General features: G+C 40.5%; 1 protein-coding gene across 6 annotated transcripts in view, besides 1 other annotated feature; it reads left to right on the top strand.

Moving 5' to 3' along the window:
- CENPU (centromere protein U) overlaps nucleotides 1-14,518 on the top strand; it is a 40,012-nt gene that overhangs the window by 2,741 nt on the left and 22,753 nt on the right. For all 6 annotated transcript variants that reach the window (NR_104593.2, XR_007057963.1, NM_024629.4 and 3 more), the window contains exons 2-5: nucleotides 388-436; nucleotides 2,321-2,438; nucleotides 6,294-6,399; nucleotides 14,160-14,220. Coding sequence is in view for 4 of the 6 variants with exons in the window: in NM_024629.4 (NP_078905.2) it covers nucleotides 388-436; nucleotides 2,321-2,438; nucleotides 6,294-6,399; nucleotides 14,160-14,220 (334 nt within the window). In the remaining 2 variants the exon portion in view is untranslated. The remainder of the gene's footprint in view (nucleotides 1-387; nucleotides 437-2,320; nucleotides 2,439-6,293; nucleotides 6,400-14,159; nucleotides 14,221-14,518) is intronic.
- Nucleotides 8,252-8,331: a silencer, noted in NCBI's record as "silent region_15842". NCBI's record gives its function as "represses an Ori minimal core promoter by ATAC-STARR-seq in GM12878 lymphoblastoid cells {active_cell/tissue: GM12878}" and the evidence as "EXISTENCE:reporter gene assay evidence [ECO:0000049][PMID:35858748]".

The raw sequence follows: 14,518 nt of genomic DNA, 5'->3' as shown, positions 1-14,518 counted from the left end.
GGGATTCACTTCTACCTTATAGGACTGTTAGAATTAAATGAGAAAAGGACGTAGGAGAGCCAGGCACCGGATGGAGCAGGTGTCGGGGCTTAGCGTTAGCCTACCTCCCCTTTGTTCAGCTGTGCAGAGAAAGTCAATCACTGCTGATTGATTAAGGCCTCAGGGAAAAAGTTAACAGCAGGATTCCAACTTTTCCATGTCCCTGAGGGGGAGAGGTATGTTATTTTATACATTGGTGATAGGATTTGACCTATAAAAAATAAATTTGTGGAATATGGGTTCTTGTTTTTTTTTTTGGTAAAAATGCGCGGAAAGGGTCATAACTATGGTGTTTCCTCAGTTATTTTAACTATTTCCTAACTCTTGTGTTTTTTTGCTGTTTAATAGCGCAAGACGTTCAAAGAACACTTTAGAAAGAACACATTCCATGAAAGATGTAAGTTACCTTTTTGTGTTGTGGTTTTCTCAAAATTGACAGTACAAAATAACATTTTTTGGGTACCTCAGTTTTGTAGACTTCACTTGGCAAGTTCAATGTTTATTGTAGTGAAAAAGTGTGTTCATTTTCCTCACACTTTTTCCGGTATAGTGGATAAAATGACTTTTGTTAATGTTTTAGAATTTCCTTTATTTCTGAGCCGAGTTTGGTTTTATTTTCGTTTAGATAATTGACTTCATGTAAAAATTGTACAGTGCTGTAAGCTTTTTTCACTTAAAGCCATTTCTCCTCATTGTACTTTTCAAGAATTGTTTTATGATTTCATGATACTCCACTTAGTTCACATTACAGGTTTACTTTTCTTTAGAGTCTTAGAATAAATGTATGTTAAAGGCATGTGCATTTCTTTAACGTTCTTGATAGCTAATTCCAGTTTTTTTTTCCAGTGGCTTGTGTGATTGACATTGTAATCTCACATTAACAGTGTATGACAGTGCCAGGCACCCCGGAAGGAGTTCCTTCTGCTTGTTCTGCCCTGGGCTTTCTCTGTCCTGCATAGTCCTTAACCCCAGCCTGCAGACGATAGCTCTCTTCCCCTCTGGGAAACCCTGGGATCCCCCTGCAGGGTTTTGCTCAGCGCTCTGCTCCCACCCCGGCATTACTTCACGGGTTCTTTGGGTGGATTTCTCTCAGCTGTCCTGCCTTGCCCCTGCCATTGGTAGCCAAAGTACAGTGTGCCTCGGAGGGATTTCTCTAAGCTCCAGCCTTAGCTGGAAGCCCAGAGTGCCTGGAATGGATTCAGCTTTCCTGTCCTTCCCTCTGCAAGGCAGTCCCTGGTGGAGGCCCCCTATGCCTTGGGAGGGGCTGGAAGACCTGCCAGCTCTCTCCACATTCCACCCCCAAGCACTCCAGGAATGATTCTTTCACTGGGGGCATCTGAATGGTCAAGTTTTTATATGGTTTGCCAATTTTATTTGACCTCCTTTATACCTTCCAGAATTTTCTTATTTTTGTATCTGTTAATAGTACCCTTCCACATTTTCTGGAACTACCATGAAAGTTTTTCTCATTTTATGTATGTTTTCATGTTTCATTAGATTTGGGGTAGCAGACTTCATGGGTGTATCAGTATATTGAACTCTAAACCCTGGTGTCCTTTAGTCAGGAGTTTTTACACATGTGTACCCTTAAAACTGTTTATGAACTTTTGGGTATATGGGCATATTTCCGGAGACAGGACCCATCACTTTCCCTAGGTCAGAGGTTTAGGCAAACTGGCCCATGGGCCAAATCTAGCCTGCCACCTGTTTTTGTATATCCCTGCAAGCTAAGAATGGTTTTTACCTTTTTTAATGGTTGAAATAAAATAAAAAGACTATGTCATAATATGTGAACATGATATGAAATTCAAATTGCAGTGTTCAAAAGTCAAATTGTATTGGAACACAGCCATGCTCATTCTTTTCTGTGTGGTTACTGTCTGCATTCATGTGACAGTGGCTGAGTTAGTAGTCAAAACAGAAACCTTACGGCCTGCAAAGCCTAAAAGAATTTACTTTCTTGTCCTTTATAGAAAAAGTTTGCCAATCCATGCCTTAGGTTATCAAAAAATTCTATGTCCCCAAAAAGTGTTAGCTTGCTTCTTTCTTTTTATTTTAACTGAAACATTGTAATTGTACACATTTGTGGGGTCTGATTTGATCTTGCCATACATGTCTATGTTGTATAATGACCCAATCAGGGTAGGTAGTGAATCCATCACCCCATGCATAAGGATTGCTTCCTTAGGCAGCAGTGATTACAAGAATATTCTTGCTGTATAAATCAACCTATTGTTCTTTGTGAGAGCCAACTCAATGACTCAACTTTATTCACTTTTAGAAAGCTGGTCAAAAGTGCAAGCCTATTGACGTGTTCGACTTTCCTGATAATTCTGATGTCTCAAGCATTGGCAGGCTGGGTGAAAATGAGAAAGATGAAGAAACTTATGAGACCTTTGGTTAGTACTTTAAATCTTTATCCTAACATAACTCTAAAGCAACAACATTTAGGCCAGATATAATAAAAAATAGAAGTATCTTCAAATATAAAAATTAGTTGCCTGCATGTAAATATAATGTTCTCTGGGGAGTACTTGATAATTTGAATTAATTTTCCTCACTTACGGGTACATTGAAACTAAGAACATTATCAAAGCGGCACTCGTCTAGTAGTATTCATTAACAATCTGGTCACATGAGGACGCTTACTATAGTACTCTGTAATAAGGGGAACATAGCATACATTTCTCACTTCACTCTACCATTTGATAGAGCCATTAATTTAGGGAGGAGAAGAGTATGGGTAATTTTCCTTTGTCCTAAACTCATGGAGGCAGGGGATGCTTCGGGAGAGCCAGTGGGAGAGCTTCACCTGTGTTCCTTGGAGTGTGAGGTAAAAGGCCAGTACCAGGCTGGCCAGGAGTGTGTGAGTTGTCAGGGTGGGCTGCTTGTGTCACTGGGCACTCCAGAAGCCAGAAATGACAGAGAAAATGCCATGTGTCCCCACATCTAGAACTGCAGTAGTCAGGCATTTTTGCTGGAATAAGTTTTAAGAGAATTTTGAAGGCTTTTGGTTTAATTTTTTGTTTAAAGAAAATATTATACATTTTATAAGGTGAAATGTATTCACCAGAATAATGTCTTTTATTATGACTTGATAAAAATGTCCTATTTGTCTAAAATCTAAATCTAAAAGATCTGAACCTAAAACCCCATAATTTTAAAAATGGAAATGAATTCACATACCATAAAATTCACCCTTTTAAGGTGTACATGTCATTGGTTTTTAATTTATTCACAAGGTTGTACAACCGTCTGCATTATCTAATTCCAGAAAATTGTTATCCTGTAGAGAACCCTGTACCCATGAGTGGTCACTCCCTCTTCCCCCTTCCTTCAAGCCCCTGGCAGCCATGAATCTCCTTCCTGTCTCTACAGATTTGCCATTTCTGGACATATCAGTGGAATCCTAGACTCTGGTCCTTTGTGACTGGCTTCTTTTACTTAGTTTTCAGGGTTTGTCCATGTTGTAACGTGTATCTACCTCATTCCTGTAAGTTTTTATAGCTCAGTGATACTCCATTGTTTGGATATACCGCAGCTTGTTACCCATTTATCAGTTACATTTGGGTGGTTTCTATTTTTTGGCCACTGTGAATAATACTGCTGTGAACATTTGTGTAAGAGTTTTTGTGTGGACTTTTTTCACTTCTCTTGGGCATATAGTGGGAGCAGAATTGCTGAGTCCTATGGTAATTCTATTTTTAACTTTTTGAGGAACTGTTTTACAAAGCGGCTGCACCACTTTACAATTCCATGGCAGTATATGAGAGTTCCCGTTTCTGCACACCTTCACCAAAACTTACTGAGTTTTTTATTCTAGCCATCCCAGCACCTCATTGTGGGTGTGAGTGTGTGTATGGGGTATGGGTGGTAAAATATAGTTTACCATATTAACCTTTTTTAAGTGTATTAACTCTGTAGCAGATAAATACATTCACGTTGTTGTGCAACCATCATCACCATCCATCTCCAGAACTTTTTCATCTTTCCTAACTGAAATGCTCCACCTATTAAACAACTTCCCATTCTTCCCTCCCCTCAACTCCTGGCAACCATCATTCTGTTTTCTAGGAATCTGATGTAAAAGGAAACATAGAATAGTTGGTTCTTTGGTAACTGGCTTATTTCATTTAGCATAATGTCTTCAAGGTTTATCTGTGTTGTAGCCTGAGTCAGAAATTTTTTTTTTTTTTTTTTGGAGACGAAGTCTTCCTCTGTCACCTAGGCTGAAGTGCAGTGGCGCGATCTCGGCTCACTGCAACCTCCACCTCCTGGGTTCAAGCAATTCTCCCTGCCTCAGCTTCCCGAGTGGCTGGGATTCCAGGCGCCCCCCCCCCCCACCCCCCAGGACCACCACCACCACGCCTGGCTAATTTTTGTATTTTTCAGTAGCGATGGGGCTTTGCCATATTGGCCAGGCTGGTGTTGAACCCTTGACCTCAGGTGGTCCACCTGCCTCGGCCTCCCAAAGTGCTGGGATTACAGACGTGAGCCACTGCGCCCAGCCAGAATTTCCTTTTTAAGCTGAAGAACAGTCTGTATGTACCACATTTTATTTTTATCTACTCATCTGTTAATGGACCCTTGGGTTACTTCTGCTTTTTGACTGTGAATAATTCTGCTATTAATACTAACATGAGTGTATCAATATCTGTTTGAGTCCCTGCTTTCTCCTCTTTTGGACATTTACCCAGAAATGGAATTGCTGGATCATATATATTTTATATTTTCAGGAATCACCATTTCCACAGTGCCTGTGTTCCCACCAGCAGGGCCCAAGGGTTTCAGTTTCTCCACATCCTTGCCTACACTTGCTATTTTCTGGGTGTTTGTTTGGGTGTGAAGTACTATCTCACTGTGGTTTTGATTTGTATTTCCCTAATTACTAATGGTGTTCAGCACCTTTTCCGTGTACTTATGGCTGACCATTTGCTTTTTTTTTCCCTTTGACCTTCTTATGTATGATTATTGGCCATTTGTATATTCTTTGAAGAAGTTTCTGTTCACCCTTTGCCCGTTTTTAAATTGGATTATTTGTCTTTTTATTATGAAGTTGTAAGAATCCAGTTTATGTGAGTGGTTATCTGTGGACGTTTGGGATTGTTCTATTTCTTTTTTCCCCCCTTGTTATTCACAGCAATAGAGTAAATAAATCCCTTTGCCTCGTGGAGGGCAATACAAAGTATACTACTAACTTAAAAATTGTGCAGTTGATATGTTCATTATTTAAGCAGCTGTTTAGTTGAAAAAATGTTGAAGTTTGCACTGTCATGCTAAACTTTGAGCATGAAGAAATGGTTGCTTGGCTCTTACCAGGCCCCCTTACAGCAGTTCAGCTCTGTCACCACTGGCCACCTCTTCTTCTCCAAGCTCTCTACCCCTGCGTTAAGTCCTGGGTCTCTCCTGTTACTCCTCTTTCCTGAGCACCCGCTAGGAGCATCTTTCTCCTCTTAGCATCTCCTTTCTGTGCCTTTCCACCAAGTTCATTTGCTCTCCTTCTCTTTTATCTTCTTCCTCATTCAAGGTATCTTTTTATGTTATCTAAAGGCTCTGGCATCCCAGAGTAAAGCAGAGAGGAAGTAAGGGAGGCCTGGAATCTCCCCAAAGGGCTTTTCATTCAAAAATACTGAGGGCCCACTATATGCAGGGTACTTTGTGAGGTGACCTCTCTAGGCCTGTTGAGTTTATAGTTTAATGCAGTGGTCTCTCATGCAGAGTGTATGACGCCTGACAGGGATGAGGAAAGAAAATGTTGGACTTCCGATTTATATTTTTATTTCATTAAAATTTCCCCAACCTGGGCAACATAGTGAGACCCTGTCTCTACAGATAATTAAAAAATTAGCTGGGCATGGTGGCATGTGCCTGTAGTCCCAGCTATTTGGGAGGCTGAGGCAGGAAGATCGCTTGAGCCCAGGTGCTTCAGGCTGCAGTGAGCTGAGATCGCACTACTGCACTCCAGGCTGGGCGGCAGAGTGAGGCCCTGTTTCAGAAACCAAAAATAATTCCATGTAAGTGCAGTAATAAAGGTTTATTATTCATAAATATTCATGTATTTATTGGTGATAGGGTTTACAATTTTTATTGTTGAGGTGTGAGATCAAAAACATTTGGGAAGTGGCCTGTGTAATTGATTTTGATTTTGTTAGTTGAACAAAGATTGTTTTGTACTCCATTGTAAGGGAATAAACTACAGTACTGCCCAAATAGCCAGACTTTTAAAGTTGTGCTTCTTTTTTGTCTTTTGAAAGATCCTCCTTTACATAGCACAGCTATATATGCTGATGAAGAAGAATTCTCCAAACATTGTGGACTGTCTCTCTCTTCAACTCCTCCAGGAAAAGAAGCAAAAAGAAGGTACTGGTGTATTTCAAGCAATTGTTTATTCATGGTTAATGGGATTTCTGAGAAACTCTTTAAGATAGAAGCTAATAAAACAAAAGCATTTCAAGATCCTTTGAGCCAACTTGTTATGCTTTTTCTCAAGAGAACTGAGGCATAAAAACTTTATTAATAATTGACACGATAATTATAATAGCTGTGATAACTGACAGAATTCACACCTGATTATCCTAGAAATCATGCCTGGGAAGATAGTTTAGCTTTGAGTCAAATAAGAAAGGAGGGAAAGATTTTACAAGCATAGAATGTTAGGTGATTTTTGGGAGGTCTCTTTCATTTACAAATTCTCTATAATTATCACAAATGAGATGTTTCCTTGTATATGGTAGGTGATAATTACAAAGCAATAAAAAGGCTGTTTCAGATGCACTGTCCCTGAAGTGCATTGGTTTGAGTCTTTGAGATTTATGTGAAGCTATAGGTCCAGAAAATCTCTATAAAAATGATTTCATAGAGAAAACTTGGGAGCAAGTTATATAATGCAGAACTCTTCGATAACTGTAGTACTCATTTAAAATTATCTAGAGCAGCTCTTTGACTTAGGGACCTCTGTTGGGTAACAGGTCAGTTCTAGTTACTAAATGTATTTAGCAAGTATCAAAAGTGCAGTGTATTTTTGTTTGGTTGTTTGTTTGTTTGTTTTTTTGAGATGGAGTCTTGCTCTGTTGCCCACGCTGGAGTGCAGTGGCTCAATCTGGGCTCACTGCAAGCTCCACCTCCCGGGTTCACGCCATTCTCCTGCCTCAGCCTCCCGAGTGGCTGGGACTACAGGCGCCCGCCACCATGCCCAGCTGATTTTTTTTGTATTTTTAGTAGAGACGGGGTTTCACCATGTTACCCAGGCTGGTCTCGATCTCCTGATCTCGTGATCTGCCCACCTCGGCCTCCCAAAGTGCTGGGATTACAGGCGTCAGCCACTGCACCCGGCCAAAACTGCAGTTTTAAAACAAATATCCCAGCTGGGCAGAAATCTGAGAAGTCATTTTGAGATTGTCTACACTAGGGAAGTTTTATAGTACTTGGTTATTTTGGAGACTCCAGCTTATTTTTTTTTTTTTTTTTTTTTTTTTGAGATGGAGTCTCGCTCTGTCACCAGGCTGGAGTGCAGTGGCGCAATCTTGGCTCACTGTAACCTCCGCCTCCCAGGTTCAAGCAATTCTCCTGCCTCACCCTCCCGAGTAGCTTGGACTACAGGCACGTGCCACCATGTCCAGCTAATTTTTGTATTTTTTAGTAGAGATGGAGTTTCACCATGTTGGCCAGGATGGTCTTGATCTCTTGAGCTCGTGATCCGCCCGCCTTGGCCTCCCAAAGTGCTAGGATTACAGGCGTTAGCCACCGTGCCTGGCTGACTCCAGTTTTATATGTTACTGAAAATCAGTAAAAGTCATACATTTGGAAAACGTGCTCTACTTTAAACAGTGGTGAATGTAATTTTTAAACAGGAATATTTTGAGTAGGTAACACCTTCACATGGTTTAAAAATATAAAAAGGTGTATAGTAAGTCTTCATATCATGTCTACTATCCATCTAGCTCCTAGAACCCGATTCTTCCCTCTCCCTTATTATTAATTTCTCATATGTCCTTCCAGAATTTCTTGGTGCATATAAAAGTAAATATGAATACACATTTTAACCCTTTTTTGTCTACAAAAGGCAGCATAGGTTGCTACCTAGGTTTTTTCACTTACTACATCTTAGAGATCTTTACATATCAATACACATGGAGCTTTCTCATTCTTCTACCCTTTCCACAGCATGGGTGTTCCTTAGTGTGATTATCCAGTTCTGTATAGATGGGCAGTCAGGCTGTTTCCAGTCTGTGCTGTCACTCCCAGTGCCACTGGGAGTGCCATTTCACACTTGTGCCTGTGTATCTATAGGATATAGTCATAAAAGTTAAATTCTGAGTCAAATGAAACGTGTTTGTCCTTTTTATAGTTATTGCCACATTGCCACCTAAGTGAGATCAAACTTGGATTTTTGCCAATGTGATAGGTCAAAAATGCTATCCCAGCCTAGTTCTAATTTGTATTCTTAGGAATGATTGAGCAGCAATCATTTAAAAGCTCTTGAATTTCTCTTTCTGCAAACTGTTTATATCCTTTTTCCTATTTTCTAGTTGATGTTGGTCATTTTCTTCATGACTTCATTTAAACATTAGTGAGATTAGCCCTATGTTACAGTTTTTTTTTGTTTTGTTTTGTTTTGTTTTGTTTTTACTGGTTCATCTCTCTTTTGACAAAACACCTAATGGTGGTGGTTTTTTTTTTCAACATAGAAAATGTTCAGTTTTATTTAGATGCAGCGATATATTTATCACTTTTAGCATTTAGGGATTTTGAGTCATAGGAAGACATCTCCCTTCGTGTTTTCTTTTAGAACTTCTATGATTTATATTAAAATCCTTGATCTTTTCTATATATAAATGCAGCTTTTCTCATTATTTTTAATAATGACTTTTAAGAGCTACTTGTTAAAAGCAAAGTTGCTATCTTTATTGGGTTGAGGTAAATTTATACATTTATTTATAAAAGCTGATCTTTATTAGTTTTGGATTTGGTTTGTTCTTGCTTTTCTACTTCTTCAAGATGCATCATTAGGTTATTTATTTAAAGTTTTTCTTTTTTTGATGTAGGCGCTTATAGCTGTAAACTTCCCTCTTAGTACTGCTTTTGTGGTATCCCATAGGTTTTGGTATGTTGTGTTTCCATTATCATTTGTCTCAGGAAAATTTTCAGCTTCCTTCTTAATCTCTTAATTGACCCACTGGTCCTTCATTAACGTGTTGTTTTATCTCTCTGTGTTTGTATAACTTCCAAAATTCCTCCTGTTATTGATATCTAGTTTTATTCCACAGAGAAGATACTTGATATTTCGGTTTTTAAAAAATGTTTTAAGACTTGTTTTGTGACCTATCACGTGGTCTGTACTTGAGAGTGATCCATGTGCTGAGGAGAAGAATGCGTATTCTGCCGCTGTTGGATGAAATGTTCTGTAAATATCTGTTAGGTCCATTTGGTCTACAGTGCAGATTAAGTCTGCTGTTTCTTTATTGATTGTCTGTCTGGAAGATCTCTCCAGTGCTGAAAGTGGGGTGTTGAAGTCTCCAGCTAATGTATTGGGGTCTGTCTCTCCCTTTAGCTCTAATATTAGCTTCATCTATCTGGGTGTTCCAGTGTTGGGTGCATGTATGTTTCAAATTGTTATATCCTCTTGCTGAATTGACCCCTTTGTCATTATGTAGTGACCTTCTTTGTCTCTTCTTACAGTTTCTGTCTTAAAATCTAGTTTGTCTGAAATAAGTATAGCTACTCTGCTCTTTTTGGTTTCCATTGACAATGGAATATCTTTTTCCATACTTTTATTTTCAGTCTGTGTGTATCTTTATAGGTGAAATGTGTTTCTTGTAGGCAACAAATCATTGGGTCCTTTTTTTTTTTTTTTTTTTTTACAATCAGCCACTCTATGTCTTTTGATTGGAGAAGTTAGTCCATTTACATTCAGTGTTATTGCTAAGCAGGGACTTACTCATGCCATTTTACTATTTGTTTTCTGATTGTTTTGTGGCCCTCTCTTCCTTTTCTTCCTTCCTGTCTTCCTTTTAGTAAAGGTGATTTTCTCTGGCAGTGTGATTTCTTGCTCTTTTTATGTATTTGTTGTATTTATTATTTGAGGTTACCATGAGGCTAGCAGGTACTGCCATATAACCCATTATTTTATGCCATTAACAACTTAACCCTGCTCGCATAAACAAGCAAAAAGAAAACTAATAAAAACTACACCTTTACTTTGCTCCCCCACTTTTTAACTTTTTGTTTTTATTTTTATTGTACTGTTTATGTTTTGAAAAGTTATTATTTTTGATTGGTTCATCTTTTAGTCTTTCTACTTACAATGAGAGTAGTTTACATGCATCAGCTACAGTGTTATCTTTTTCCGTGTACTTCATATTACCAGTGAGTTTTATACCTTCAGATGATTTATACTGCTCATTAATGTCCTTTTCTTTCTGCTTGAATTACTCCCTTTAGCATTTCTTTTGGGACAGGTCTGGAGTTGATAAAATTTCTCAGCTTTTGTTTGGGAAAGTCTTTATTTCTTTTTCATGTTTGAAGGGTATTTTCACCAGATATATTATTCTAGGGTAAAAGTTTTTTTCCTTCAACACTTTAAATATGTCATGCCACTCTCTCCTGGCCTGTAAGGTGTCCACTGAAAAGTCTGCTGCCAGACATATTGGAGCTCCATTGTAAGTTATTTATTTCTTTTCTCTTGCTGCTTTTAGATTCTTTGTCTTTGACCTTTGGGTGTTTGATTATTAAATGCCTTGAGGGAGTCTTCCTTTGGGTTAAAGCTGCTTGGTGTTGGTTGTATAACCTTCTTGTACTTGGATATTGATACCTTTCTCTGGTTTAGGAAGTTCTCTGTTACTACGTTTTTGAATAAACTTTCTACCCCCTTTTCTCTACCTTTCTTTAAGGCCAATAACTCTTCGATTTGCCCTTTTGAAGCTTTTTTCTAGACCCTGTAGGCATGCTTCACGATTGTTTTTTCTTTTTTCTTTCCTTTCCTCTGACTGTATTTTCAAATAGCCTGTCTTCAAGCTCACTAATTCTTTCTTCTGCTTGATAGATTCTGCTATTAAGAGACTCTGATGTATTCTTTAGTATGTCCGTTACATTTTTCAACTACTGAATTGCTGCTTGATTTATAAAATTATTTCAATTCTTTGTTAAAGTTATTTGATAGAATTCTGAATTCCTTCTCTGTGTTATCTTGAATTTCTTTGAGTTTCCTCAGAACAGCTATTTTGAATTCTCTGTCTAGAAGGTCATGTATCTCCTGTTTCTCCAGGATTGGTCCCTGGTGCCTTATTTAGTTCATTTGATGAGGTCATGTTTCACTGGATGGTCTTGATGCTTATGGATGTTTATCAGTGTCTAGACATTGAAGAGTCAGGTATTTATTGTAGTCATTGGAGTCTGGGCTTGTTTGGATCCATCATTTGTGGGAAGGCTTTCCAGATATTTGAAAGGACTTAGGTGTTGTGATCTGCATTAGGGGGTCTCATGACCCTGACTGGTGCCCTATGCTACTGTGGCTGAGCTCGTATCCAAGATGGAAAACAAAGTCCTCTCCACTCTTCCCTCTCCTCTCCTCTCACAGAAGAAAGGGGTCTCTTTTGGAGCCATGGGCTGTGCTGCCTGGGCCTGGGGGAGGGGTGATGCCAGTACACCCTTAGCCACACCAGTTGGTGTCTCAGTAGGTCACATGCCCCTACAGTCCACTGGCTCCAAGCCCAGCTCAGCACTAGGAGTTGCCATCCTTGTGGCCTAGACTGCCCGTCAGGCTCACCTAGGGCCCCAGAGCACTTTAGCCCATAGTGGCAAGGCTTGTCAGAGCTCAAGCTCCTGCTGCTAAGATGGGCGATTCCCCTCACACCAGGACTAGTCCAAATGCTCCCTCTGTGTGTGGGCATCAGTTTAGTTCAGCCTGGTTCTGCTTTCCACTGTTACAGGACAGCACTGAATTCAAAGCAAAGCTTCAAAATCACTGTGCTCTCCTCCCAAGAGCACAGATTCTCTGTGCCACGCAGCCACTGCTGGGAGATGGGGAAGGGGTGGTATCAGCGATTGTAGACTCTTTCCTACCCTCTTCAGTGCCTCTTTCAGCAGTGGGAAGTCAAAACCAGGCACTGTGAGTACTCAGCTGACTTTTGTTTCCTGTGAAGGTGTTCCCTTTGTGTAGATAGTTGTTAAACTTGGTGTTCCTGCAGGGGACAATCAGTGGAGCCCTCTGTTCAGCCATCTTGCTCCTGGCTGTTTCCTCTCCTGTTTTTTTCTTTATGTGTAGGTGATTCTGCTGTCAGCCCCCTCTTCTCCGGCCCTCTCTTCTCCATCCAACCCCAGTTCACGCTCATGGTTTTAACTACCTGTGTGCCACCGTTTCTCAAGTTTCTTGTCCAGCCCTTCTCCTGAGTTCCCGGATGTTTTGCACATTGGCCGTATTTCTCTAAATGCCCACAGGCACCTCACTCAACAAAGGCAAAACTGAGCTTCATCCTTTTCCTTCTCATCTAGTGTCAGTGAACTTCTTTGGTGTTCTCTAGGTTAATAGTCTTGCCATTCACCCACTCCCCTCCGATCCAGCAATCTGGGCAATCAGTCTTGGTTTGTTCTGTCTGGCCAGTCCTATTTTTCTGGCCCGTGACTGCCTTGAAAATCCGTTTCTCCTCTCCACACCCCTGCCACCTCCCTGTGGCTGCCATGGTTTGGGGACCTCACTCTCACCAGCGTTCCTGCGGTAGTTTCCTGTCTGGCCTCCTTGTCCCTTATGCCAGCTCTCTCTGGCCTACCCGCCCATACACCTTCCAGAGTGATCTTTTGAAACCCCAGTCTCATCTCACTCCTACGTCCACCTCCTGGTAGGGCTCCCCTTTGCCTGTATGCATGGCATAGAGGGCCCCTGTGCCAGTTTGGATCCTGGGGTGAGTAGACACTGAGGCAGTTAGGAATGGAAGGGGTTTATTAGTGTTACCTGTGAAGGGTAAAGTTGGAAGAAGCAGGATTGGGCAGAGGTGGCCTCAGACTGCACTGCAGTGCCTACGGTTCTGAACAACCCACTGCGGAGCTCTGGAGGAATGAGGGCTGTTAAAAGGAGGCCTGGCCTGTATTGGGCAGAAACGTCGAGGCCCCAGACCCTTGCTGTGCTTACTTGTTGGCTAGAGACTGCCCACAGCTGTGGCCTCTGCCCAGCTGCTGCAGTGGATCCAGAAGGCGCTGCAGTGGGTGCAGAAGGTGCTGCAGCTGGAGGCTGGCACTGACCATAGGAGATCCATGCAGCATGCCTATGTGGGTGCCCTGCAGCCCGTCAGTCATAGCCTTTGACTCTTCCCTAGCGTTCGTTATTTTCTCTTAGAAAATACATTCTATCTGTGCTCTGTTGCATGTTTCTTGAACATGCTGGGCTGTTTTACACCACCAGGCTTTTACATTAACTTTTCCATCTGCTTTAAATGTCCTTCTTCACACTTGTTTTCCTGAAAAAGGTTTTTTTACCTGTCAGCGCCAAGTGTCATAACTGTGATGCTTTTCCTAATACCCCAGCTGTGTCTCCACATCATCTTCTCTGTCAGATGCTTGCCAGGTCATCACTCTGCACCATCTTTGGCCTTCCCACTAGACAGTGAACCCTTTGAAGGAAAGCCTCTCAATTTTAAAGTAATTTTATTCACTGTGCTTTGCATTTTGAGGTTGGTGTTAAATAAATTTGTTGTATTGAACAGAATGAAAAGATGAGTTTTCATCTCCCATCAGAAGTTAGGGCTATTTTTTTCCTCTTTAAAGGATAAAAGAAGGTGTTCCCTTTTCTGTCACCTAAGGATGGGCCTAGTGGATTAGCTTTTAGTACAAATGATGGCCCGTATTCCTGGGACTGGTAACTTGGAGAAAAGTGCAGTTCTCAGACATCACCACAGGTGCTGCAGTAATGGAACAGGTTACTTGCTTGCCTGGGATAAACTCATGTGGCCTGGGTATGGGAAGATGTGGGAGGCAGCAGTAAACCCAGGAAGGTGGCAGACTTGTATGTGACAAATAGGATATTTCCTCATTAAATTGAGTCTGTTTTCATGTTGAATGAGCAAGTTAGAGAAGACATGTGAATATAAATGGAATGTGTACAAGATATTGATGGCTTGTACTTTTTACAGTTCAGACACTTCTGGAAATGAAGCAAGTGAAATCGAATCTGTAAAAATTAGTGCAAAAAAGGTATGTAGGAGTATTCACTCTTCTACTTTAATTTGTAATATAGTTTGATTGGATGCAAGTACAGAAAATGTTCTGTAAAATATTTCATTTCCTCTTTAGATTGGATGCAAATAGAGAAAACATTCCGTAGCACCATTTTTCATAAAGTTCTATTTTTAGGATATACTTTTATAGTAAAAACCAAAATATTTTTGTAACTGAAGTGTTTTTCATTAAAGAGGTCTCACATCTCTATGTACTTTGTCAATTTTCATAGCATTCTTGTACTGTGGTTAGGTTGTGATTTTAAAAGGCAGAG

The sequence above is a fragment of the Homo sapiens genome, chromosome 4 (genome assembly GCF_000001405.40).
Source record: "Homo sapiens chromosome 4, GRCh38.p14 Primary Assembly".
Classification (NCBI taxonomy): domain Eukaryota; kingdom Metazoa; phylum Chordata; class Mammalia; order Primates; family Hominidae; genus Homo; species Homo sapiens.
Note: the sequence above shows the minus strand (reverse complement) of the source record. Positions and strands in the feature narration are given on the sequence as shown.